Source organism: Homo sapiens, chromosome 16 (assembly GCF_000001405.40).
Source record: "Homo sapiens chromosome 16, GRCh38.p14 Primary Assembly".
Lineage (NCBI taxonomy): Eukaryota > Metazoa > Chordata > Mammalia > Primates > Hominidae > Homo > Homo sapiens.
The window spans coordinates 57,227,784-57,253,670 of NC_000016.10; the positions used below are offsets into that span (position 1 = coordinate 57,227,784).

Genomic DNA, 25,887 nt, shown 5'->3' on the forward strand with positions numbered 1-25,887 from the left:
ATGCCACTAAAATGAGGATTTTTCAGGGACAAGATGGCTATGGAACAGGTCCTATCCAGTGGCCACGCTCTAAGGAAGTAGGGTCATATGGTAGAGGATATAACCTCTGGAAGGATTTGATTCCTAGCATCAGAGCTAGATAGAGGATATAACCCAACTCTTTCTCCAAGCATCCCTCTCTCATTTTGCTACCCCAATCAGCATTATGGATATAAACTGAATTTTTAGGCATGCTAAGAAAGCAGAAATTTAGGCTGAGGCAGGTGGATTGCTTGAAGTCAGGAGTTCAAGACCAGCCTGGCCAACATGGTGAAACCTCATCTCTACTAAAATACAAAAATTAACCAGGTGTGGTGGCACCCACCTGCGGTCCCGGCTACTTGGGAGGCTGAGGCAGGAGAATCAGTTGAACCCAGGAGGCAGAGGTTGCAATGAGCCGAGGTTGCGCCACTGCACTCCAGCCTGAGCAACAGAGTGAGACTCCATCTCAAAAAAAAAAAAAAAAAAAAAGGAAAGCAGGAATTTGCCCACCCCCATATGGAAACAGCTCCACTTGATTAAATTGGTGGTGTGGGAAAAAAATCAGAAAAGCCAACAGGAACACTCATTTTAATGGCTTGCAGGTTCTTGAAGGAACATAAAACTTCTTCATTTAATGGAGCATATGATAAAGGCCCTGTTTTCAAAAACTAGCTTGTTTTTTAATAAGAATTTTTTAAAGGATTATTCGAGTAATATGTTTATTATAAAAATTTGAAAAATAGAAAAAAAATGAATAAACTAAAAATCCCCTGTAATTTCTCCAGAGATTTTTTAAAAACACTTAAATTTTATATATATGTATATTTTTGTTGTTGTTATACTTAATACCTTGAACAGCTTTCCAGGTTATTAAATAACATTACTTTTTATTGTTGCTGTTTTTGAGACAGGGTCTCATCTATCGATAGCCCAGGCTTGCGTGCAGTGGTGTGATCATAGCTCATACAGCCTTGACCTCCCAGGCACAATCCATCCTCCCACCTCAGCCTCTCCAGTAGCTGGGACTACAGGGACACACCACCACGCCCGGCTAATTTTTGTATTTTTTTGGTAGAGACAGGATTTTGCCATGTTGCCCTGGCTAGTCTCAAACTTCTGGGCTCAAGTGATCCACCCAACTCTGGCCTCCCAAAGTGTTGGGATTACAGGCCTGAGCCCCCATGGCCCAGCCAATAACATTACTTTTAATGGCTTCTCAGTATTCCATTATATAGTTGTACTATGATATACTAATTAATGCCTCATTGTTGGACACTGACATTTTTGCCTTTTAAAATTATCATTATAGACCATTCTGGATTTTCTCAAGACAAAACCCTTAGAAGTGAAACTTCTCTGGCAAGGGGGATATAGAATTTCAAAGCTTTTGCTGTATATTGCCAGATTTTCCTCCACCAGCATTGAGTGTCCATTTTTCTTGTCATTGCTGTGTAATTTCATTTGTTTATCTTTGACAGACAAATTTGTTTATCTCATCTTTCAAAACCAAAATTGGGCCAGACGTGGTGGCTCATACTTTTAATCCCAGCACTTTTGGAGATCAAAGTGTGAGGATCCTTTGAGAGGATCACTTGGGGCCAGGAGTTTGAGATTAGCCTGGGCAACATAATGAGACCCCCCATCTCTATAAAAAAATTTTAAAAATTTGCCAGGGGTGGTGGCACGTGCCTGTAGTCCTAGTTACTCAGGAGGCTGAAGCAGGAGGATCACTTGAGCCCAGGAGTTTGAGGCTGCAGTGAGCTAGGATTGTACCACTGCACTCCAGCCTGGGTAATGGAGCAAGACCCTGTCTTAACAACAAAAATAACAAAACCAAAAACTGAAACCTTAGAGTTTTACTTTATCTGATAAGTGAAGATAAATGCTTTTTTTTTTTTTTTTTTTTTTTTTTTTTTTTTGAGATGCAGTCTCACTCTGTCACCCAGGCTGGAGTGCAGTGGCGCGATCTCAGCTCACTGCAACCTCCACCTCCAGGGTTCAAGCGATTTTCCTGCCTCAGCCTCCCAAGTAGCTGGGATTACAGGCACCTGCCATTAACACCCGGGTAATTTTTGTATATTTAGTAGAGATGGGGTTTCACCATGTTGGCTGTGCTGGTCTCAAACTGACCTCAAGATGATCTGCCCACCTCGGCCTCCCAAAGTGCTGGGATTATAGGCATGAACCACCACGCCCTGCCCTTTTTTTTTTTTTTTTTTTTTTTGAGATGGATTTTTGCCCCGTCACCCAGGCTGGAGTGCAATGGCATGATGTCGTCTCACTGCAACCTCCGCCTCCCGGATTCAAGTGATTCTCCTGCTTCAGCCTCCCGAGTAGCTGGGATTACAGGTGCCCACCACCACACCCAGCTAATTTTTGTATTTTTAGTAGAGACGGGGTTTCACCATGTTGGCCAGGCTGGTCTTCAAACTCCTGACCTCAGGTGATCCGCCCGCCTTGGCCTCCCAAAGTGCTGGGATTACAGGCGTGAGCCACCTCGCCCAGCCTGCCTTGCCTTTTTTTAAAGAAAGGCATATTTTGGGGTAGTTATCTAGGGAATTATAAATCTCACCAGAGAGGCAAGTGACCACATGATTTTTTGATCTTACCATATTTCATTGAGCCCAAAATGCGTATTTTTCCCCACATTTTAACATCTTTGAAATTGGGATGCATCTTAAGATTGGCTTGTCATAATTTAATTGGCAGTATTTTTTTCTTATTGTTACATTAAAATATTGGTGTATAGGGGTCAGATCAGTTACAGAAGAAACAAAAATTAACATGTTGAATGCATAGCTAAAGATGCAGACTTAATACAGTGCCATTGAAACACTTGAGATGCTTAGCAAAGAATCCTGGTAGTACACATCATTATCCTAACAGTGTTTCTCTTTATCCTCTAGGAGATACAGTAGGATTTCTGTTAGACTTGAATGAAAAGCAAATGATCTTCTTTTTAAATGGCAACCAGCTGCCTCCTGAAAAGCAAGTCTTTTCATCTACTGTGTAAGTAGCTCTTCTCAGTCAAAAATTCGAGTAGATGCACGGAATGCCCTTTTCTCTAGGAAAAAAAAAGTCTTTGTCCATTTATATATGCAATTGTGATGAGAAATTGATTAATTTCAAGTGATTGGGAACCCATTTGATCAGACCTAAAACTATCCCAAAGTTTGATACAGGAAGATAAGGCAGAATATTCTCTAGTCACAGACCTGTGTGGGTTATAAACACAGTCTGTCACTCTTCCTTTCTGCCAGGGTAGGATTGACTCACCCTGCCTTTCTGAAAACTGTTCTATCTATTAACTCTATTTTGATTTTTATTAATTCTATTGGCCTCTGTACTCATTTTATTTGTAGATCTGGATTTTTTGCTGCAGCTAGTTTCATGTCATATCAACAATGTGAGTTCAATTTTGGAGCAAAACCATTCAAATACCCACCATCTATGAAATTTAGCACTTTTAATGACTACGCCTTCCTAACAGCTGAAGAAAAAATCATTTTGCCAAGGTAAGGAATCTGCCCAGGCTATCTCCAGACTTTCACATGAATCTTATGAGAAATTAAACAATTTATAATCAACGTTAAAAGAATATAACAAATAAATTTTGAAAACCTGAGTAAAATGGATGACTTTTCAGGAAATATAAATTTCTAAGATCGCAGAAGAAATATACACAAACCAATTATTGTATATATCTGTCCCTAGAAAGCACCAGACCCAGGTGGTTTCACAGGGGATCTCTACCAAATCTTTAGGTAACAGATAACCTTATTGTTATTTAAAATGTTACCAAACCCAGAAAGACGGAACACTTTCAAATTTTTTTTGTGAGATAAATAAGATTGGTATAAAAATCAGAAAAATATGACACATGCACACAAACTGCAAACTAACTTCACGTGAATGTCAGTGTCAAAATCCTAAATATTAGGAAATCTAGTACATCTTTTAGCAGACTCGGCTTTATTGAAACAGACTTTTTATGTGGTTTCAACTGTGTGGCAAAGATGACAACACTGTTCCACAACCATCAGTGAATACCATCTTGCATAAAATTTTACAGCCCTTATTTGACAAAAACTGTGATTGGCATTAATTTATCAGATGAATGCCTGCTTTACTTCCTTGTGAGATGAATGTAGTCTATTCCTTAGGCTGGGGAAAGACTCCAGCTGCTTCCTGGTAATTACTTCAAGTTGAAGCTTGTTTCACAATGTGAGCTAAAGTTTATCATTTTAAACAGAGCAGCTGCCTGTTTAAAGGGTATTCCTGTTACTAATACCACATATCTTATATCAGTAAGAGAGTCTCTCTCAGCAGCCAAGGCCAGCATACTGGCCATGACATAGCTAATGTCGGACTGGTATGCCCCTGAAGATATCTGTAACGTAATCCTAGCTCTTGTTTTGGCTCAAAAAGCAGATCTGCAAGCAGTGCTCTGGGCTGTGCTTCACCTTGGAATCACTGTCTCAGTGGTTCAATAGTTTCCAGATGAACTAGAAAATGGGACGATGATGGTAGTGTTGTCTGCAGATGGTAACACTGGCAGCAGAGCCTCAGTAATAGCCCAAGAACATAAGGGTTGCATATGTTCCCGCTCAGGGTTCTGAGGTTAATTCCTAGAACTTTTCATTCAGGCTCATCCTTGGTGCCTGACAGAGATTCTGAACTTTAAATTCCTCTTGGCCAAAGTCTGAGGGGACACCTCTCCCTTATCTATCATACCCCGTTCTTTTTCATCTAGCCTGCCTTTTCCTTGGATGAAGCCCACAAATAAGTCTTCTCACATATACCCTAAAAGGGACAATTGATCCATCTAAGTTCCCATGGGGACTGGACATAGTTAAAATGCTTCAGCATTTAGTTAACTGCTCCTGCAGAATTAAACCTTCCCAAACTCAGATGGCAATGGGCATCAACTATCAGAAAGTCTCATTTTATGGGCAGCTTATACATACTCTCTTGGTAACCATGTATATAAATTTGGTACCCAAAGTTCGTCTTGTCTTGAATAAGAACAGCTGAATTCCAAGCTAGGTCAATCCTATGCTGTCTCTAGACTGTTTTCTCTGATAGTAACAAGAAGATATAGTTGTCAGGAGCCTAACTGAGTGGCCACCTTAGTGCCAACCTCCTTCTTGCACCTTGCTGCCCTTAACATTCCAGTTGTGCTTAATTATAAATTGTGGCATTAAGTATGAACTTACTTGAGACCATTTTCTGTGCCATTAATATTTTCATCCTGTGTTCCAAAAATGTATATTCAGTGATACTTTATATTCATTGGAATATTACTCCTTTCTGGCATCAGGGTAGGAGCTCATGGCCCTGTTACTACTAACTGGGATTTTATAAATTGTTCTGTGTTGTATATACTCTCTGTCTGTAATTCTTCCATTCATTCTTTTTTTCTTTAACCTTTTTATTATGGAAAATTTCAAATACATACAGAAGAAAAAAATAATAGTACAGTGAAGCACCACATACCCACTCTCAGCTACAAGTCATCCACTCACAGCCACTGCTTCTCCCTCAGTCTTCTCTCATCTCTGTTTTTTTAATTTTTATTTTTTATTTTTTGAGACAGGGTCTCACTCTGTTGCCCAGGAGTGTGGTGGCACAATCTCAGGTCATTGCAACCTCCATCTCCCAGGCTCAAGCGATCCTCCCACCTCAGCCTCCTGAGTAGCTGGGACTACAGGCATGCCAACACACCCAGCTAATTTTTGTATTATTTGTAGAGACTGGGTTTCGCCATGTTGCCCAGGCTGGTCTCGAACTCTTGGGTTCAAGCCATCTGCCTGCCTCGGCCTCCCAAAGTGCTGGGATTACAGGCGTGAGCCACTGTGCCTGGCCCCTCGTCTGTTAATAACTCCTTTATCATCCCAGTTTCCCTGGCCATAACCGTAGAGTATCCTTGACACCTTACTTTCTGCTATTTCCACATTCAATCCCTCAGCAAATCCAGTAGGCTGTGCCTTCAGAATATATCCAAAATCCAACTACTCATCACCCTCACTGCTGCTACCATGGTCCAAGCCTCCACCATTTCCTACCTATATTATTTTTGTCTTGCCCTCTACCTTGTTCCTCCCCAGATCCCCTTCAGTCTATTCAACACAGCCTCCAGAATGATTTGTTACAACGTAAGTCAGATCACACACTTCTCTGCTCAAAAGATGCCAGTGCGTGGCTTCTTATTCACTGAACGGAAAAGCCAAAACCTTTCCGGTGACCTCCCAGGCCCCGTACAATTTGTCCTCTCCCTTCCCTATGTTACTTTTCTGACCTATTTCCTACCCTCTCCCGTTTTCTCATGCTCCTTCAGCCACCCTGGCCTCCTTGCTGCTCCTGAAACACACCAGGCCTATGATAGCTTCAGGGCACTTGCTGTTCCTGCTACCCGAAACGGTTTCTCCAAACAACCACAAAACTTACTTCCTCACTCCCTTTACCTCAATATTACCTTAGTGAGACCTTTCCTGGCTGCCATATTTAAAATTGTTTTAATAACACCCCACCTCTGATGTGTACACTCCTTGTCCTTCCCATTTTCCCTTTTCTTCATAGTATTTATCAGCATTTAACACTGTATTTTACTTATCTTGTTTATTTCTGTCTTCCCCTACTGGAGCATAAGCTCTCCAAAGGCAGGGATACTTTTTTAGTCCTCTGTTCACTGCTGAATCTCTAGGGCTTGGAACAGTGCCTGGCACACAGTAAGCCCGTAAGTGAACTGAATACATGCTTCATGCTTCCCTTGCCCATATATTAGGGCTGTACCTTCAGCAGAACAGTTTTGCCTGTCTGCTTCCATTCCATGCTGAGTGAAAGTATAATGGAAGGGTTCTAACTTGAGGTGTTTGGACTTGCAGGGAGTCTAAAATGAACTGTTATAAACCCCTTGAAATTGTATAAAAACTTGTATATGTGTGTTTTTCTTGAGAAAGCCTCTATGCTTGTGAGCAGACTCTCACATATGTGATTTAAAAGGTTGAAATTTGCTGGTAACATAAAAAGAGCACTGGACTTAGAACTAAAGGATTTTAATTTGATTCCTGACTGCATACCTTATACAAGTCATTTCCTTGAACTTTGTCTATAAAATGGGAATGGTTATACCTCCTTCATTCTCTACTTTAGAAAATGATTGTAGGATTGAAAGGAGATGGCATGTATGAAAACCTTACTGAACAAAGTTTAAGGAATATATGTCACAGGTGCAGAGCATTTTCAAAACATTTCATATGCATCACTGCTAACAGGACCCCTGTTGACAAAATGTATTTCAAATTGCTTTTTCTACTCAGGCACAGGCGTCTTGCTCTGTTGAAGCAAGTCAGTATCCGAGAAAACTGCTGTTCCCTTTGTTGTGATGAGGTAGCAGACACACAATTGAAGCCATGTGGACACAGGTAAGAGGATTTATATTAGGCAAAGTTTCATACTGTTCTTAAATTGCTAGTTCCATGGCTGTTCGTCAGGGTTTATTGTATCTAAAGCAGGCTGAATGAGGAACTAGAGTTTAAGTAGAACCTGGCTGTCTTCCAGAAAGTACCTGAAATAGAAGCAGCTGCTTGATGTGGAAGGCTGTTTTGTTTACTCAGTACTGTATTTTTGATACAATTTTGGCTTCACAAAATGTAACAGGTTTAATGCTATTTATGAGCTTCCTAGGCACTCTTTTAGTTTTAGAGCTTCCTCATTTACTTCTTATTTACAGTCAACCATTGAGAAGTTAGCAGCCTCCATGTCATCTTACTAAATTTCAGTTGTATGAGATGAACTCAGAGGGCAGCCTGGACCCTATAGAACAGAGTGAGCATCAGCAAGAGAAGCAAGTAAGATGGTCCCCAGGAAGGCTAGCCCAACTAAGTTTAGAAAGGAGAAGAGCAGTTGGGCAATGTGGCGTCCTGGCCAGTCAATGTGTGCCGATTGTTTATGAGCAACACTCAAGTTGATGTTACAAGCCAGCTACCTGTAATTCATCATATCCCATACCCTGCCTTGGTCTTATTTTTGACATAGCTTTAGTCACGTGGCTCCACAGGGGTCCAGAGCCTGGAGTGATGAACCCAGTTTGTCATCCCCAGGAATGACTCAGCCTGGGCCCCTGACTCTGCCTCTCTACGTTTGTTGTCTTTTGAAACGGGTTATCTAATTGGCTGTGCACTTAAGGGAAGTAGAGTGTGTCTCATTTCACCCTTAGCTATACCAGCCTCTCTTCTGAAAGAAAGGCACAGTGATTCCAGCTGTGATTAATCCTCCCTATTACTTCTACAGCCCAGAATTTCTCAGTTTGAGCATATTTGGAGGGTTTAGTTATCAGGGCCTCACAGACAGATGCAGAGTTTAAAGGTTGGATATCTTCATGCCCTTTTTGATCTTTGTTTCTGTAAGAATGTTAAGATCTCAAACAGCTGGATCTGGTCTTAATCATCTTTGAGCTCTCTGGTCCTGTGGTCTTGCACATAATACAAGGGGTCATTAATGAGTGCTGAAATATAAAACTTTAGAACTAGGTATCTTAAGTATGATCATAGTCTCCATAGTAGATATATATCCAAAATAGAGTTGGAAGAGGACATTAAAAGAATTATAAGAAAATTTAGCTAAACTTTGAGCAGCAACAACAATTTTAAAAGGGATATAGGGACAAAGAAAGGAAACCTGGATAAAATGAATTACAAGAGTCAATCCCCAGAGGAGACTGAAAATCTAAGCATTCCTGTTACCATAAAAGAAGTTAAAATGGTTATCAAAGCTACCTTTGCCTTCTCTTCCACAAGTACTAAGGCTAGTTTCACAGGTGAACTCTTTACAACTTTCAGGGAATAGGTAGCCCAATTCTATTTAAACTTGGCCAAACCATAGAGAAAGTAGGAAAACCACAATGTTATTTTTAGTAATCATACCAAAAGCTGATAAAACTCATAAAAAGAAAAAACTATTTTTTTATGAATATAAATCTAAAACTCCCAAATAAAATATTAGAAAGTAAGACCTAGCAACGCAACTGGCAGGGGGAGTTATCTTAGGAATGCAAGGATGGTACAATTACAGAAATCTTAGGCTGGGCACGGTGGCTCACACCTGTAATCCCAGCACTTTGGGAGGCCAAGGCGGGTGGATCACAAGGCCAGGAGTTTGAGACCAGCCTGGCCAAGACAGTGAAACCCCGTCTCTACTACAAATACAAAAAAAATTACCCGGGCGTGGTGGTGGGCGCCTGTAATCCCAGCTACTCAGGAGGCTGAGACAAAGAATTGCTTAAACCTGGGAGGTGGAGGTTGCAGTGAGCAGAGATCGTGCCACTGCACTCCAGCCCAGGCAAAGGCAGGTTTTTTTGAGATGGAGTCTTGCTCTGTCGTCCAGGCTGGAGTACAGTGGTGTGATCTCAGCTCACTGCAGCCTCTGCCTCCTGGGTTCATGCAATTCTCCTGCCTCAGCCTCCCGAGTAGCTTGGATTACAGGCGCATGCCACCAGGCCCAGCTAATTTTTGTATTTTTAGTAGAGACGGGGTTTCACCATGTTGGCCAGGCTGGCTCGAACTCCTGACCTAAAGTAATCCACCTGCCTTGGCCTCCGAAAAGTTCTGGGATTACAGGCATGAGTCACCATGCCCAGCCTACAATATAGAAATCTTTAATATAATTACTCAAATAGGCCAGAGGCAGGAGAGGGGCAGTTATCACTTCAAGAATGCTGAGAAAGCATTTGTTAAAATTCAATATCCATTCCTAATGGATGAAATACTACAAAACAGAAATGAATGGACTAAAACAATATAAAATAGGAATGGATGGATACTTCCATAACAATACAAAAAACACATATATTTCAGCCAAATGCTAGTATCTCTTTATTTTTTTATTTTTATTTATTTATTTATTTTTATTTATTTATTTATTTTTTGAGACGGAGTCTCGCTCTGTCACCCAGGCTTGAGTGCAGTGGCGTGATCTCAGCTCACTGCAACCTCCGCCTCCCGAGCTCAAGTGATTTCTCCTGCCTCAGCCTCCCAAGTAGCTGGGATTACCAGTGCCCGCCACCATGCCCAGCTAATTTTTGTATTTTTAGTAGAGACGGGGTTTCACCAGCTAGCATCTTTTTAATGGTGACACATAGGAAGCATTTCAAGAGATGTTGGGAATAAGATAAGGATGCCTACTGTCACCACTATGACTTACAAAATACACAAAAATCAGTAGCTCTTCTAGCTATATGTATAATAGCAGCCAGTTAGAACATATAATTGAAGATCCCTTTTACCATGGTTAAAAAAAAAAGTGCTATCTAAGAATACATAGCAAGAAATATGTAGAGCGTATATGAAGAAAACTTTTAAACTACCAAAGAGTATAACAGAAGACTTAAATAAATGAGTCTCTTCTTGGATAGGAGGACCTCTCAGTATTGTAAAGGTGACAGTTTTCTCTAAACTCTAAGTTTAATTTGCTCAACATAAAAAGAGCAACATGATTTTTTTCTGGAACTTGACATGCTGATTTAAAAGTTTAAGGCAAGAAAATTCTGAAAGTTAGGGAGATGACAACCATACCACATCTTAAAATACATTAAAATAAATGTTAATAGTTTGGTCCCATTACTATATGACAAGAATGGCAGAATAATGGAATACAATAAAAGCCCAGAAATAGAACTAACTAAAAATGAAAATTTACCATATGACAAAGGCATTGTGTCAAAACTGTGGTGAAAGATGGACTGTTTGGTAAATGATTCTGGGATAAATGGCTAGCTTTCTGGGGAGAAATATTATATCCCTACCTATAAGTGCACATCTGTAAGTATATGCTGTGCACATATAGAGTGTCTGAAAGAATGCATATGAACTTTTTACTTGTTCCACAGACTAAGACAATTGAGGATCAGAAATGTAAGATTTACTTTTTATTTACATATTCATTTTTTTTAAACCATGTATAATTAGTAACCCTTTCAATGAACAAACTTGTTAACATTTTTGATTTAGTTGGCAGGCAGTTGGAGTTTGACCTTTTGAAGCATTAACTTGACTGACTTTTCTGTGTTTCTCCCCAGTGACCTGTGCATGGATTGTGCCTTGCAGCTGGAGACCTGCCCATTGTGTCGTAAAGAAATAGTATCTAGAATCAGACAGATTTCTCATATTTCATGACACATGTGAAGAGGCATCGTGGACTTTTTTCTACTCAATTCCAGCCAATGTTGAAAAGAAAAAGAAAAAAAAAACTCTCTAATCAGTTGTACACACATTGAAACTTATAGCCATGGCCAGATTTTATGCTAAAAATGGTAGTTTGTCAAAGACAAAATTCTCTTAGAATCTAATCCAACTTGCCAGCCCTGAGAAAATCCCTTTTAAGGCCAAGGAAAGCTGAATGCTAGCAGCCAGGCCTGTGGTACTTCCATGAGAAACCATAGCAGACAATGCCCTCCCAAGTACTGAAATCACACTGGAATCCCCCTTGTTGGGTTCATTTGATTGTTTAACACAGGATGTGTTGTGTCATTCTGAAGTTTTTATTTGGGGCAGAAGTCTTTATGGAGATGTAAATGACAGCGTTTCTGGGTTATGCATAACTTCTCACTGGTCAGAGACACCGGTGTGTCAAGCATGGATATTGCATTGCAAGACTTGAATCTATAAAAATTAGAATCACACAGTCAGTACTACAAGCAAAACAGAGAACCTGAAAGAAGGTGCACAGACTGTAAGAAAAAACCCAAGTTTGTGATATTTCAGTGATTCCAAAGAACATTCTAGGTTTTTTGTTTGTTTTTTTGTTTTTTGGGTTTTTTTTTTTTACTGCAGAAAATTGGTGGTATTTTCACATTCATAGTGTTTCTATCCAATTTCAGTACCCACATTTAATGAGGAAAAAATGTTTTACCAATGAAGGAGGAATTCTTAAATTAGCTGTAATGTTAGGTTGGAGAAAATTTGGTATTTAGGGTATTTTCAAGGTACCATCAAATCAGATTTCTGTTTTTTTGTTAAAAAAAATTTTTTTAATCAGTATTGTTTTTACAAGTAATATACTTTGAAACTCTTGAACTAATAGTCTCAAAAACTCTAGAGGACAGTCTGAGAACACGTATTTCTATTGTTCTAAATAAATACATGTTTTTGAATAGTTCAATCATGAATTATTGACTATGTCTTCATCAAAAGTGTTAATCCCTCTCAGGGTCTCTGGTGAAGACCTTCAAGAGTTTGGTTTTTTCTCCCAGGAAATTGGAAGGTAGAATTGTAAATTCATAGAACTTCTTTTATAATGGTGTACCTCAGCAGCTGCCTTTCAATTTATGCCAAGTCCTTACAGAGTTTATACTTGAATAGTAAATATGTCTTCTGAGTTTTACAGTGTCTTAAACTCAATGCACATTTTTTTTTCTTCTTTTTCCACCCCTTCTTGTTTGTAGTTCATTATACCTGTCCTATTACAGAACTGATTTCCTTCCTGGCTGTACATGTTGGGGTGCTGGATTTTTTTCCGTGTCTTTAGTCTTCCATAAATCCACACACACACACACACACAAAAAATATATATATATATAAATATATATGTAGGATACATGTTCTCTTCTTTAGCTTGTGGTGAATACAGTAATTTGCATTGAAGAATAAAACATCTGTTGCCTTTTTTGACTAAGATTTCACAACTTTCATTGGTGTATACTGCTAAGGTTCCAAGACATTATACTCTCAGACTTTAAGGGCTACTTTTGGGAGTAGGAGAGAATCAAGTATTAGAATTAAGAATAAGGCCACTTACTCATCCAGCAGATTGTTATTGAGCACCTAATATGTGCTGGGCACTGTGCCTATGTGGCATACAAAATATGCTTGTAGAGCTTATGTCTAATAAGCTTGTCTAATTATTGTCTATTATTATGTCTAACAGTAATTTGGAAGTGGTCCAGCTGAGACTAAAGGTAGTCTGTACATTTAGTAGAGAGAGGGAAAAATAGATGGAATTAATAGATAATTTGCGAGGCAAAGGAATGCAGGAGCCTAACAGCTTTCTAAAAATCTACCCTTGAAGTTTGTTCCTAAGGTGGGGAGAAGACAATATATTTGTGTTTATTGTAACAGATTTTTAGTGGAAAAGAATAGGGTCCTAGAGAGAATGAGGGGGACCTAATTTAGATGGTGGTGGGAGTGTCAGAAGAAACCTCACTGGGGAAGTAACATTAGTGAAACTTAAAGGAGGAAGTAGGACATAGCCTGGCAGAGACTGAGGACTAGCTTCTAGGACTGGGTAGCTAGGCGAACACAACATTTTAGGCAAAGGCACTAACTGAGGAAGAATGGGTCTCAGTGGGTTTGGGGATCCGATGGAAGGCCCCTGTAACTGGAAAAATAGGAAGCAAGTAGGTAGAATAGGTAATGCTACAGTGTTGGAGAGGCCAGGGAACTGCTCATGAAGGCTATGTGAAGGATTTTCTGTTTTATACTAAGTGCAGTAGAAGGCAAAGGTGTTTAAGCATGGAAGTGCCTTGATAATTCTAACAGATGGCTCTGGCTTCTATTTGGAGAATGGAATGGAGGAGTGGGGTGGGCTGGGGGTAAAGGACAAGCAAAAAAATGGAAATAGACCAGTAAAGAAATGTGTGGTCCAGCTGAAACTAAAGGTAGTCTGTACATTTAGTGGAGAGAAGGAAAAATAGATGGAATTAATAATTTGCCAGGCAAAGGAATGCAGGAGTGTAACAGCTTTCTAAAAATCTACCCTTGAACTTTGTTCCTAGGGTGGTTTACGTTTCCTGTTCTTAAGTTCTAGATCATAAAACAAAAGGGCTTCAATATTAAATTGATCAAATCATCCAGGATGGAAGCTAAATTGTAAACTTGGAGCCACCTCAAAGGGAAAGACAGGAACTCCCTATCAAAGAAAAAACTAGGGGTTAGCAAGCTATGTGGAAGCGTAAAGTCGTACATCCATATTCTGAACTGAATGTAAGCATTTAAGAGAAATTAAAAGCTAGACTTTTACTACTGATAAATTGTTACCAGGGAGAAAAACAAAAAATTATGGTATTTTGTCAGGTGATTCACTGGGGAAATCCAGCATTTCAGCCAAAAAAGTTTTTTAATGAATTTGCCCCTTTTTAAAATAACATAGAGCAGAAGAAAGTCATGGTGCCATTTGCAGAGTGCCAGGAAACTGATTCAGTCACAAAACTGACACAATTTCACTGGCAGAAAATGACTTTTGCACAAGTTTCAACCATCTTGAATGTGTATCCATGAAAACAAACCATCCACCTAAGATCAGCTCTTTCCAATATTGCCCATCATTTACCTTTTGCTATTTATTCACTCAGAAGAATTCCTAGTGCCAACCCCCAATCAAAGGATTTTAAAAATGAGTATTAATGGAAAAACATTTAGTGTATTCAAGTCAATTTTTAGTTTTGCTACAAGTGGAAAAAGGCCATTCTGTATTCAGGAGAAAACGTTCTGATTTCCAAGAATATGGTTTAACAACCCAGGGATTAGGGGCTATATAGCATGATGGTTGAAATAGGCCCTTTGGAGTGGGACTGGACCCAGGTCCCACTAATGCTTGGTTTCCCAGTCTGTAAAATGGAGATACTACCCACCTCATACCGGTTTTTTGTTTTTGTAAGGTCTCAAATATTTCAAAAGGAGACAATGTATTTATAAATGTTTAGCACACTATCTGATACATCCTTGAGTGGGTACTTTTTATCTTTATCCCCATTTGTTCCTAGAGTCAGTAAGGTTGGTGAAATGGATTAAAAGATGGCCACAAATTATTTGACATCCCTCCCGTCAAGAAATGAGGTTTATGTCTACTTTCCTTAAATTTGGGTGGCTCTGGGTCTGCTTGATCAGTGGAACACAGTGGAAGGGCTATTGTGCCAGTTTCCAGTACCAGGTCTTTAAGTGACTGCCAGCTTACATTTCAGTGTCTTGAAACACTTGCTCTTGGACCCAGCACCATGGTGTGAGAAAACCCAAGAATCCCCTGAATCCTATAGATGGAGAGGAACTGAAACCCCCCAAACCCCGGCCCCAGTTCTCTGGCCAATGTCCACAACTGAGAGCCAAGAGCCAACACTAATTTGCCAGCCATGTGAGTAAACTCCTTGGAGGAAGCTCCTCTAGTCCATTCCAGCTGCCCCCAGCCGACACCAACTGGAATAGAGACTAGCTGGCCCTGCCCAAATTACAGATTAGTGAGCAAAATGGTGGTTTTAAGCCACTAAATTTTCAGGTGGTTTGTAACAGCAATAGATAACCAGAACAGATTAAATCAAGGTGTGTTCCTCCTCCACTCCATCAATGACTTAGGAAGGGTAGGCAAATTCATTTTGTCCAGAAATGTGTGGTATATAGAGAAAGTAGGTCATGAAGAAACTCTCTGAGTTTGCTGTAAGCTGTGTGACCAGGGCTTGACTAAACAACTCAGTCCAGTAATTCAGCAAATCTTTTTAAATGCCTATCTTCCACTTGGTGCTAAACAGAGTAACTCATAATTGATGTCACCTGACCGGGTGCGGTGGCTCACGCCTGTAATCCCAACACTTTGGGAGGCCGAGGCGGGCAGACCACCAGAGGTCAGGAGTTCGAGACCACGCTGGCCAACATGGTGAAGCCCTGTCTCTACTAAAAATACAAAAATTAGCCGGGTGTGGTGGCACGCGCCTGTAATCCCAGCTACTTAGGAGGCTGAGGCAGGAGAATCCCTTAAACCCGGGAGGCAGAGATTGCAGTGAGCCGAGATTGCGCCACTGCACTCCAGCCTGGGCAACAGAGCAAGACTCCCTCTCAAAAAATAAATAGGCCGAGCGCAGTGGCTCACGCCTGTAATCCCAGCACTTTGGGAGGCCAAGGCGGGCGGATCACCTGAGGTCGGGAGTTCAAGACCAGCCTGACCAACATAGAGAAACCCCATCTCTACTAAAAACACAAAAAAATTAGGCATGGTGGCGCATGACTGTAATCCTAGCTACGCGGGAGGCTGAGGCAGGAGAATCGCTTGAAACCGGTAGGCGGAGGTTGTGTTGAGCCGAGATTGCACCATTGCACTCTAGCCCGGGCAGTAAGAGCGAAACTCCATCTCAATAAATAAATAAATTAGTAATAATTTATGTCACCTTGGTCACAGCTGTCACACCCGACTGTGTCTTTGTAACCATCTTTGTTTCAGATCCCACGGATATCTATTTTAAGTCCATTCAAAGATGTCTGCTAGGCCGGTTGTGGTGGCTCACACCTGTAATCCTAGCCCTTTTGGAGGCCAAGGTAGGTGGATCATCTGAGGTCAGGAGTTCGAGACCAGCCTGGCCAACATGGTGAAACCCTGTCTCTACTAAAAATTCAAAAATAGCCGGGCATAGTGGCACGTACTTGTAATCCTAGCTACTCGGGAGGCTGAGGCACGAGAATCGCTTGAACCTGGGAGGCGGAAGTTGTAGCCAGCCGAGATCGTGCCACTGCCCTCCAGCCTGGGCGACAGAGCAAGACTCCGTCTCAAAAAAATAAAAAATGTCTGCTAACCCATTCTGACTGGCCACCTGACCCTCAGTTCATACCTTAAACCCCTCTAGTTCCTCTAGTCATATACCACACTTTGGCCATAAGGTATCATGCAACTAAAGAGACACAATGCTTAGTTGTCCAATCAAGAGAAATCAGCTCAAACGAATCCTTTTTCAAAGTTTGGCAGTTTTGAAGAGGCCTTTTCCTGAAAGGTATCTGATTCCTGATTGCGTGGCTCAAAATAGTTCTTCAATTCTCATCTTGTATAATTAGTCAAGAAACCAATTACTGCCGAGTAATCTTTATGATGCGAAGATTATAACGTAAATTACAGGACATCGACTTCTTGCGATGGGGCTTTCCTTCCACGAGGGGTAGGAACTGTCTTGAAATCAGACGTCAGCATCACCTGGTTCAAGGGATAAGGGACTGGCTCTCCAGCGACTTGGCAACTTACAAGCGCTCTTTAAACACGCCTTAAACTACTTATTTAATCCTCCACACTCAGGGAGGCGCAATTTATTCTCGAGTTGCGAGTGAGGAAATTCTGGCTCGTGGCTTCGATTCCTTCATCCGTACAATGGGGGCGACTTGAGACGGAGTTCCCACACAACGGGTGCTCGCCGAAGCGCCGCATCCCTCCGCACTCCCTTCCGGGACTTCCTCTCCCTGTCTTGCCCCGCCCCGGCATCGGTAACGCTCGCCTGTGATTGGATGCCGGCCGGCCGTGAGGCGGTGGAAGGGGTTGCGGTGGCCATGGTGACAGGAGGCGGGGCGCCGCGCCCCTCCGGCAGTCACCGAGGCCCGGACCTGCGGCGTCGGCGGCGCGCGCAGAGGGCCAGGCGGGCGTAGAGGCCGGACCGACGCGTGGCGGCAGAGGGTATCCAAGGCCGGACCTGGCGCGCAGGCGCTGACCCGACCTGGCAGTGAGCTGGCCGCGGCCTTGGCTGAGAGGCCTTAACCCCGCCGGGCGGCCGCGCCCTGCATGCGAGTTGGGCCGCGGGCGGGGTTGGAGCCTACTCGGGGCGACTGCGATGGACGCCTTAGAAGGAGAGAGCTTTGCGCTGTCTTTGTGAGTAGCTCCTCCAGGGCGCAGGCGACTTGGGGCCGGAGGCAGCGGGCGTTCGCCCCGGGGCCTGACCCTATAAAACAGGTGTCCTTAGGGGCCGGGCCGGGCCGGGCCGGGCAGGGTGGGGGCCGCCAAGGCGCCGTCCCAGCTCCAGGCCTTCCTTTTGTAGAGTACTAAGGCTGCAGGTTTCAGGCCCCGCAGGACAGGAGTGCGAGGCGGGTGTCACCGTTGATCAGCGCCTCCATCACAATCCCCAGCCGCCAACCCTCAGCTGTCAGCAAAGCCTGGAGGGGTTGAGCGCCCGAGGCCCCTCCACCCCTCCCTGGCCCCCGCCTCCCGGACTCCTGACCAAATGACCCCCCCCGGCAGGTGTTTCGCCCGTGCCGGGTTCATGCTCACAAGCAGACAGGTATGGGGTGATAGCTAAGAGCCTGGAGAACAAGTTTTTATTAAAGTGGAGTCATGACATTGAACGTTCATGTCACAAACGTGCCGAGTGTGTTTTCTTCTGTTTGGACTTACTAGATCAGTCAGTCATTCTTAATCGTTGAAGATGGGTGATGGGAAGTTCGTTTTGCTACTCTTTTTTCTCTTGTGCATGTTTGAAAACGTCCATACTAAAAACATTTTTTTAATGCATTATTTGAAATAGCACCTAATCCAGGCATGTTTTTCAGCTCCTCCGCCTCTGATGCAGAATTTGATGCTGTGGTTGGATATTTAGAGGACATTATCATGGGTAAGCTTTTAAGATACTGTTTTTAAGGACTTGCTTGTTTCTTTAAGGACATTGAAATCAATTTGGAGAGTTAATTTTAAAAAGAGAAAACATCAAGCTGCCTGCAATTTTTAATGTAGCACAATGTAATACTTAAGTAAAGGCTTACTGCAGTTTGTCTTAGAAACAAACAGCCCAGTACTCCTGAAAACATCTAATAAGCATAGATTCAGAGGCTGGAAGGGACTGACTCAGGCTAATAGGGCACCAGCAGTGTGGCGTTCTTCGCAAAACTATAGGAAATAATGATCTACTCTATTTCTTATGTAGGGTAAGAGCAATTTCAATTTTAGATAGTTTTGAGTTTTAACATTTTCATGCCATAAAACACATAAAACCAGGCCAGGTGCGGTGGCTAACGCCTGTAATCCCAGCACTTTGGGAGGCCGAGGTGGGCGGATCACGAGGTCAGGAGATCAAGACCATCCTGGCTAACACGGTGAAACCCTGTCTCTACTAAAAATACAAAAAAAATTAGCCGGGCGTGGTAGCGGGCGCCTGTAGTCCCAGCTACTCAGGAGGCTGAGGCAGGAAAATGGCGTGAACCTGGGAGGTGGAGCTTGCAGTGATCCGAGATCGTGCCACTTCACTCCAGCCTGGGCGACAGAGCGAGACTCCGTCTGGAAAAAATAAAAATGAAAATAAACACATAAAACCATAACCATAAGCACACATGGCCATAAAGAAAACAAGGTATTAAGCTTCAGCTGGTTCTGTATTTTCCTAGGTTTTGAGTTCCTACTTGTGGATGTATTTGGGCATCCATGAAACCTGCTAAGTAACAGAGAAGCAGTAACAGTCCCCAGAGGTTTAAGACAAGTATGTAGGAGGGGAAAACTTACATTTGAGAAAATTCTGTTGACTTTAAGTTTTATGAGAATTGAGAAAAGAACACTGTTATTTGGTGTTATTGGCTGTATGGCTTAATCCATTTAGAATGAAAATTACTGACCAAGTTTTTATACCTTCAGGTATAAAGGTTCATGCCCTTAACTCCTGAATATAGATGTTTCATCATTAAGCTCGTTTCCCATGTGGACTTGGGGATTTCTGGGGAATACTGAAGAATCCATTCAGTTCTCTTGCCTATTATACCCTATATGCTATGGGAAAATGAGCCTTCTGTGAGCCTACGGTATTTATCCCAAAGTCTGGGTCCTTTCTGAAACTTTCCTTTTATTTTTAGAAATAATCTATTCAGTTGTTAAAATTCCTTATTCCGGGATGGGTACGGTGGCTCACACCTATAACCCCAACACTTTGGGAGGCCAGCGCAGGTGGATTGCTTGAGTCTAGGAGTTCGAGACCAGCCTAGGCACCATAGGGAGAACCCTGTCTCAATTAAAAAAAAAAAATTCCCTATTCCCTATCATTTATTAAGTGTTCACTATGAACTAATCTATTTACATGAATTCTCATCTAAATTCCACTTCCAATCCTATATGATAACTACCATAAACCATTCTTATTTTCCAGATAAATGTGTTTATATGGGGGTTAGAGAAATTAAGTAACTTACCCAAGGTCACACAATTAGTAAGTAGCTGAGATGCGATTCGAACCCAGACGGGCTAGCCTCTTTCAGACCCCATAATTTTAATCACTACACTGTTTCCACAACTGCTGTGGAAGTTATATCAAAATAAGAGAGAACCAATTCATTCCTTTTCAGAAAAGTAATGTCAGGGAGTTCCCAAGCCACCCTGTGTGGATATGGTTAAAATGGACTGAAGGATGGTGGTGATCATTGCACAACAATGTAAACATACTTAAAGCCACTGAGCTGTGTGCTTAAACATTAAAATGATAAAAAAAAATTGTATATCTCACCACAATTTAAAAAGAAAACAGGGCTGGGTGCGGTGGCTCACACCTGTAATCCCAGCACTTTGGGAGGCGGAGGCAGGCAGATCACCTGAGGTCGGGAGTTCGAGATCAGCCTAGCCAACATGATGAAACCCTGTCTCTACTAAAAATACAAAATTAGGCTGGCGAGGTGGCACACACCTGTAATCCCAGCTACTCAGGAGGCTAAGGCAGTAGAATCTTTTGAACCCTGGAGGTGGAGGTTGCAGTGAACCGAGATCGCACCATTGCACTCCAGCCTGGGCAACAAGAGAAACTCCAGCTCAAAAAAAAAAAAAAAAAAAAAAAAAGAAAGAAAGAAAAAGAAAACAGGAGGATTGGGCTATTTCCACATCAGGGTCCCATTTAATACCCCCTTAAAACATCAGCTTTCCTTCCAGAGACTGATCATTGAGAAAGCAGTACTGCTGACATAGATCCTGCCTACTTATAAATCATAATGGTTGGTAATCTCCATTAAAAAGAATAAATTTTCCCCACTGTGGTTCAGATGACGAGTTCCAGTTATTACAGAGAAATTTCATGGACAAGTACTACCTGGAGTTTGAAGACACAGAAGAGAATAAACTCATCTACACACCTATTTTTAATGAATACGTAAGTAGATTTCTATGTCTCCTACCAGGAGGTCAGAGTTTTTAAAAATTTAAATTTAGATTCAAAAGACATTGAAATTTGCTGCCTTTTAAAATATGCCACCAGTACACTTCCAGGAATCCTCATTAGCATCTGGTTTAAGTTCATTTTCCTCTGCACAGCCTTTGGGGCTATTTTCCAAAAGGCTTTCAGGCAAATATTTGATTAACTCATCAGCTTCTTATTTAAAAGAAGTTTGACCTGGGCTTGGTAGCACACCTGTAGTGCCAGCTATTTGGGAGGTTGAGGTGGAAGAATCACTTGAGCTTAGGAGTTTGAGACCAGCCTGGGCAACACAGCAAGATCTCTGTCTCTAAAAAAAAAATGATAATAATAAAGATAATAAATAAAAGACGTTTGGCTTATCATAATCCTGCTTTTAATCACAGTACATGAGTTCTTCATACCTTGCATTTGCATGCTTTTGACAAACCTTTCTGCTTTCACATACTCTTTCTTTCTTCTATATAATCCAGTCATATATGCATGACTATTAAGTAAAAGTGAAAACTGAGACCAAGATCACTAACTATTTGGTGGAAAAACCAAGACTGGAACCCAGGAACCTCAGCTCGTCACCCTTGGGTCTCTACACTTTACCCTGAGGCCTCTTAACAGCCCCCTGGGATTCTGTCATCTAAGAATCCATTTTGGCCTCCAGGACTTTATTTTCTTAACACAGAAGCATGGCATAAACAAACCTGCCCAGAAGGAACCTGTGACTGCCTCCATGTCCGTATGTTCTGTTACACAGATGCCCTCTACCCAGGAGGCAAAGCCCCCACTTACTGCATCCTGCACTGGGTTGTGGGTGTGGGTACCGTGCTACTCACTGTCTCCACCTGTGTCAGAGCATCCACCCTGTTACAGCACCATTATCAGCTAAGGCTTCTCTTCCACACCAGGCTGAGTACTTCTCCAGGACAGGAGCTGTGTTTTGGTCCTCTTTGGTATCCTTGGCACTCAGTGTAGATTGTGGCACACAGACCTCAGGAAATGTTTAGAAAGGGCTGGGCAGGCTTTCTGAAAAGAAGTCTTGTTTTCCCAAAGTATGGTCTCACCAAAATCCTTTCCACTGTTGCAGATTTCTTTGGTAGAAAAATACATTGAAGAACAGCTGCTGCAGCGGATTCCTGAGTTCAACATGGCAGCCTTCACCACAACATTACAGTGAGTTGAGCTTGACTGATTTTTGTGTTTTGTTTTGTTTTCTCACTTTCTTCCTTCCCTAGGCTGACCAAAAGACGCTCCTTGTTTGTTTTCCTGTGCATGCCGTTGGTGGTTAGGTCCTATGGAGGAAGCCCTCAAACCTTTTAATGAAATCTTGAAAAGATCAGGCATTGGCTCACGCTTGTGTTCTCAGTGCTTTGGGAGGCCAAGGGAGGAGGATCACTTGAGCCCAGGAGTTCAAGACCAGCCTGGGTGACATAGTGAGGCCCCGACCCTACAAAAAATAAATTAGTCAGGTGTGGTGTTGCATACCTGTGGGCCTAGCTACTCAGGAGGCTGAGGCTGGAGAATCCCTTGAGCCCAGCAGTTCAAGGCTACAGTGAGCTATAATTGCACCCCTGCACTCCTGCCTGGGTGACAGAGCAAGACCCAGTCTCTAAAAAAACAAAACAAAAATAATGCGGGGGGTGGGGCTGGGGTGGTGGAAAGAAAAACGAAAGCAATCTTGAGGACTGTCTCATCATTCATTCACGAAACAGCCATCTGTTCCGTTTGCAGGCACCATAAGGATGAAGTGGCTGGTGACATATTCGACATGCTGCTCACCTTCACAGATTTTCTGGCTTTTAAAGAAATGTTTTTGGACTACAGAGCAGTAAGTTACTACTCCTATTTATTTAGCCACTTTGAGCCACTTAGAAAATTCCAGGTAGAAATACCGAACATGAACCTCCCACGCTTCCCCCATCATTCTCCCTTCAAACTGGCCGATGAGGCATCAGAAGAGTGAGCTGCTATTCTGTTGTGGCTGGGACCTTCTCATGTTTTCATGAAACAAGCCCAGGTACCAACTTAGAGTTCCTAATCAGAAGGACAAAACCGAAAAAGCAGGTCTCAGGTCTCATTCTGCCTTGCCTTTCTTTTATTTATTTTTTTTTTTGAGACAGAGTTTTGCTCTTGTCACCCAGGCTGGAGTGCAGTGGCACCATCTTGGCTCACTGGAACCTCTGCCTTCCAGGTTCAAGCAATACTCCTGCCTCAGCCTCCCGAGTAGCTGATACTACAGGCACCTGCCACCACGCCCAGCTAATTCTTGTATTTTTAGTAGAGACAGGGTTTCACCATGTTGGCCAGGCTGGTCTCAAACTCCTGAAGCATGGTCCGCCTCGGCCTCCCAAAGTGTTGGGATTACAGGCGTGAGCCACCGCACCTGGCCCTGCCTTGCTTTTCATATAATGCAAGCTCTTTATAAGAAAAATAGGAGACTGGGCATGGTAACTCACACCTATAATCCCAGCACTTTGGGAGGCCGAGGCAGGCAGATGGCTTGAGCTCAGGAGTTTGAGACCAGCCAAGGCAACATGGCAAAACCCTGTCTCTATGAAAAATACAAAAATTAGCTTGGTGTGCTGGTGTGCATCTGTAGTCCCAGTCAGCTACTTTGGGGGCTGGGTGGGAGGACCGCTTGAGCCCAGAAGGTTGAGATTGCTGTGAGCTGTGATTGTACTGCTACAGTCCAGCCTGGGTGACAGAGTCAGACCCTGTGTCAAAAAAAAAAAAAGAAAAGAAAAAGAAATGGTGTTGGGTGTGGTTGTGCATGCCTGTAGTCCCAGCTACTTCGAAGGCTGAGGCAGGAGAATCACTTGAGCCTAGGAGTTTGGGGCTGTATTACACAGCAGTGGTGCCTGTGAATAGCCACTGCACTCCAGCCTGGGCAACATAGCAAGACCCCTATCTCAAAAAAAAAAAAAAAGAAAGAAAGAAAAATGTTTTCCAGTGAAGGGAGGTACATTTTAAGAGTGCATTTTAAGAATGACCAGGGCCAGGCTGGACACAGTGGCTCATACTTACAATTCCAGCGCTTTGGGAGGCCAAGGCAGGAGAATCACTTGAGCCCAGGAGTTCAAGACCAGCCTAAGTGACATATCAAGACCCTGTCTCTACAAAAATAAAAATAAAAAAGTTAGTCAGCTGTAGTGGTGCACACCTGTAGTCCTAGCTACTCAGGAGGCTGAGGCAGGAGGACCACTTGAGCCCAGGAATTCCAGGCAGCAGTTAGCTGTGATCAAGCCACTATACTCCAGCCTGGGTGACAGAGCAAGACCCTACCTCTTTAAAAATAATATTAAAAAAAATTAAGACTAGGGCAGGCCAGTATTGAGCAGAAATGCAGAATAACCAATAACCTGTGTTCCCTTCCTATGTACTCTGGAGGTCCACGTTCCCACCTTCAGCTCTGCCTTCCCCATGTCAGAGGCAAGATTCCAAGCCAGGGCTCTTTCTAGTCCTTCCTTTGGTTGTTTTCTCATATAGGAAAAAGAAGGCCGAGGACTGGACTTAAGCAGTGGCTTAGTGGTGACTTCATTGTGCAAATCATCTTCTCTGCCAGCTTCCCAGAACAATCTGCGGCACTAGGTCCTACCTCCAGCCAATGAATGGGATCATTCTGGATGTCACCAGCCCAATAGGCTCAGCTCATGATGACAGAACACATCTTGGAAAGACTGACTCTGTTATGTAACTCTTCATTTATGTTAAGTATTAATAGGTCAAAACCAAAATGACCTAACCCTCCTGGACCTATTTATCCTGAAACACCTTCTTGTATTCATTAACCATAGTACTCCTCCCCACCTCAAGTAGACACCTCTCTCAGGAGCTTCTGAGTCAGACGCCTCTGGAGCGAGCCCTATGTCAGGCACTCCACCTGGGGGGCCCTTCCCCAGCATACCTGCTGGTGTGTAAGTGTGGACTAACCCGCCGCCACCACCCTCTGTTCCAGCAGGCTCTGCATGAATCTTTGTGCACTTGCACCTCTTTTTCACATGGGCCACAGTTTCAGTACTTCAGCCTCAGTGGGGTTCCTGATGTTTATCTAGGGTGTTACTCAAGCCCAGTTTGAGATTTTGGAGTCTCCTGTGATCACATCTTGTCTCGGCTGTAGGAATCAACAGAAGGAGACGTCCTCTACATAAAAGCTCCATGTGAAAAGCTACTCCTAGTCTTAACATTTGCAGTCCTTGTGTCACTGTCTTCTGGTCCTGATGTAGTCCCACTGTTTCTAGAAGTCTCTTTTAAGCATTATTTTTGAAAAAAAAAATATTTTTATAGATGAATACTCAGGCTAACCTAGTGGATGTGATCTTGGAACTTCCATGATTATCCACTTAAAGATCAAAGTATTATATGCTGTGTGCTTTTTAGGTGTTTGTTAGTACTGTGAAGGCAAAAATGCTTTCTACATTGACATTCATTCCTATTTTACTGGGCACCTATGAATGTATGCTGTGTGCTAGAAATAGACTAAAACATATTCCTATAGCATGTTAGTGTGTTTGCATGTTTGCTGAAAATCCTTTGTGTATAAACCAGTTTGTAAGGTTCTCTGGGTTAGGTAGGGACTCTGCAGTTTCTTCCTGTCAAAATCTCTCCTACCAAGATGGTGTTCCACTGTCCAGCCCAGCATGAGTAGCAGGTAGAGCACAGCTTTACTGGCTGTTTGTATGCTTTGGTTTAGTGCAATGTGTGGTAGATTACTTATCAGAAAACATATATGTCATCTCTAGAACGAAGAAAAAGCATAGTAGTTCAATTCCCAGTGTGTCCCTTTGATTTTTTTTTTTTAATAGTAAAAATAAGAATCTGTACTGACTTTTCACTTGGCCATTCTGGTTTTAAAGGACAAGCTACAAGCTCTGTGTTTCTGTACTGATGTGTCACTTATTAAATACTTTTGTACCATGAGTAAAACTTCAGGTGTTTCGCAAGAACCACCATTCTCAATGAGTTGTATTCTTTCTTTAATGTAGCCACTGCCA

General features: G+C 42.5%; 2 protein-coding genes and 1 long non-coding RNA gene across 18 annotated transcripts in view, besides 3 other annotated features; 2 read left to right on the plus strand and 1 right to left on the minus strand.

Annotated features, from left to right (window-relative positions):
• RSPRY1 (ring finger and SPRY domain containing 1) overlaps positions 1-12,686 on the plus strand; it is a 54,318-nt gene extending 41,632 nt beyond the window's left edge. For all 15 annotated transcript variants that reach the window (XM_024450483.2, XM_024450484.2, XM_047434854.1 and 12 more), the window contains 4 exons: positions 2,928-3,030; positions 3,384-3,536; positions 7,341-7,445; positions 11,096-12,686. In XM_024450483.2, the coding sequence (XP_024306251.1) occupies positions 2,928-3,030; positions 3,384-3,536; positions 7,341-7,445; positions 11,096-11,192 (458 nt within the window). In that variant the 3' untranslated portion in view covers positions 11,193-12,686. The remainder of the gene's footprint in view (positions 1-2,927; positions 3,031-3,383; positions 3,537-7,340; positions 7,446-11,095) is intronic.
• Positions 7,680-7,809: an enhancer, noted in NCBI's record as "active region_10885". NCBI's record gives its function as "activates an Ori minimal core promoter by ATAC-STARR-seq in GM12878 lymphoblastoid cells {active_cell/tissue: GM12878}" and the evidence as "EXISTENCE:reporter gene assay evidence [ECO:0000049][PMID:35858748]".
• Positions 17,195-17,574: a silencer, noted in NCBI's record as "silent region_7525". NCBI's record gives its function as "represses an Ori minimal core promoter by ATAC-STARR-seq in GM12878 lymphoblastoid cells {active_cell/tissue: GM12878}" and the evidence as "EXISTENCE:reporter gene assay evidence [ECO:0000049][PMID:35858748]".
• ARL2BP (ARF like GTPase 2 binding protein) lies at positions 17,476-25,852 on the plus strand. Of its 2 annotated transcripts, none has more exons than NM_012106.4 (6): positions 17,476-17,622; positions 18,297-18,358; positions 20,754-20,860; positions 21,984-22,069; positions 22,628-22,724; positions 24,383-25,852. In NM_012106.4, the coding sequence occupies exons 1-6, from the start codon at positions 17,585-17,587 to the stop codon at positions 24,482-24,484; spliced, it is 492 nt and encodes a 163-aa protein (NP_036238.1). In that variant the 5' UTR covers positions 17,476-17,584; the 3' UTR covers positions 24,485-25,852. The 2 variants fall into 2 exon arrangements, with proteins under 2 accessions (NP_036238.1, XP_047289839.1); XM_047433883.1 differs by lacking the exon at positions 17,476-17,622 and adding an exon at positions 18,010-18,028.
• Positions 17,665-17,874: a silencer, noted in NCBI's record as "silent region_7526". NCBI's record gives its function as "represses an Ori minimal core promoter by ATAC-STARR-seq in GM12878 lymphoblastoid cells {active_cell/tissue: GM12878}" and the evidence as "EXISTENCE:reporter gene assay evidence [ECO:0000049][PMID:35858748]".
• Positions 18,032-24,009, minus strand: LOC124903697 (uncharacterized). The gene is made up of 2 exons (XR_007065082.1): positions 23,921-24,009; positions 18,032-22,188 (listed from the first exon to the last, which is right to left on the minus strand). It is a non-coding gene; the product is annotated as an uncharacterized LOC124903697 (long non-coding RNA).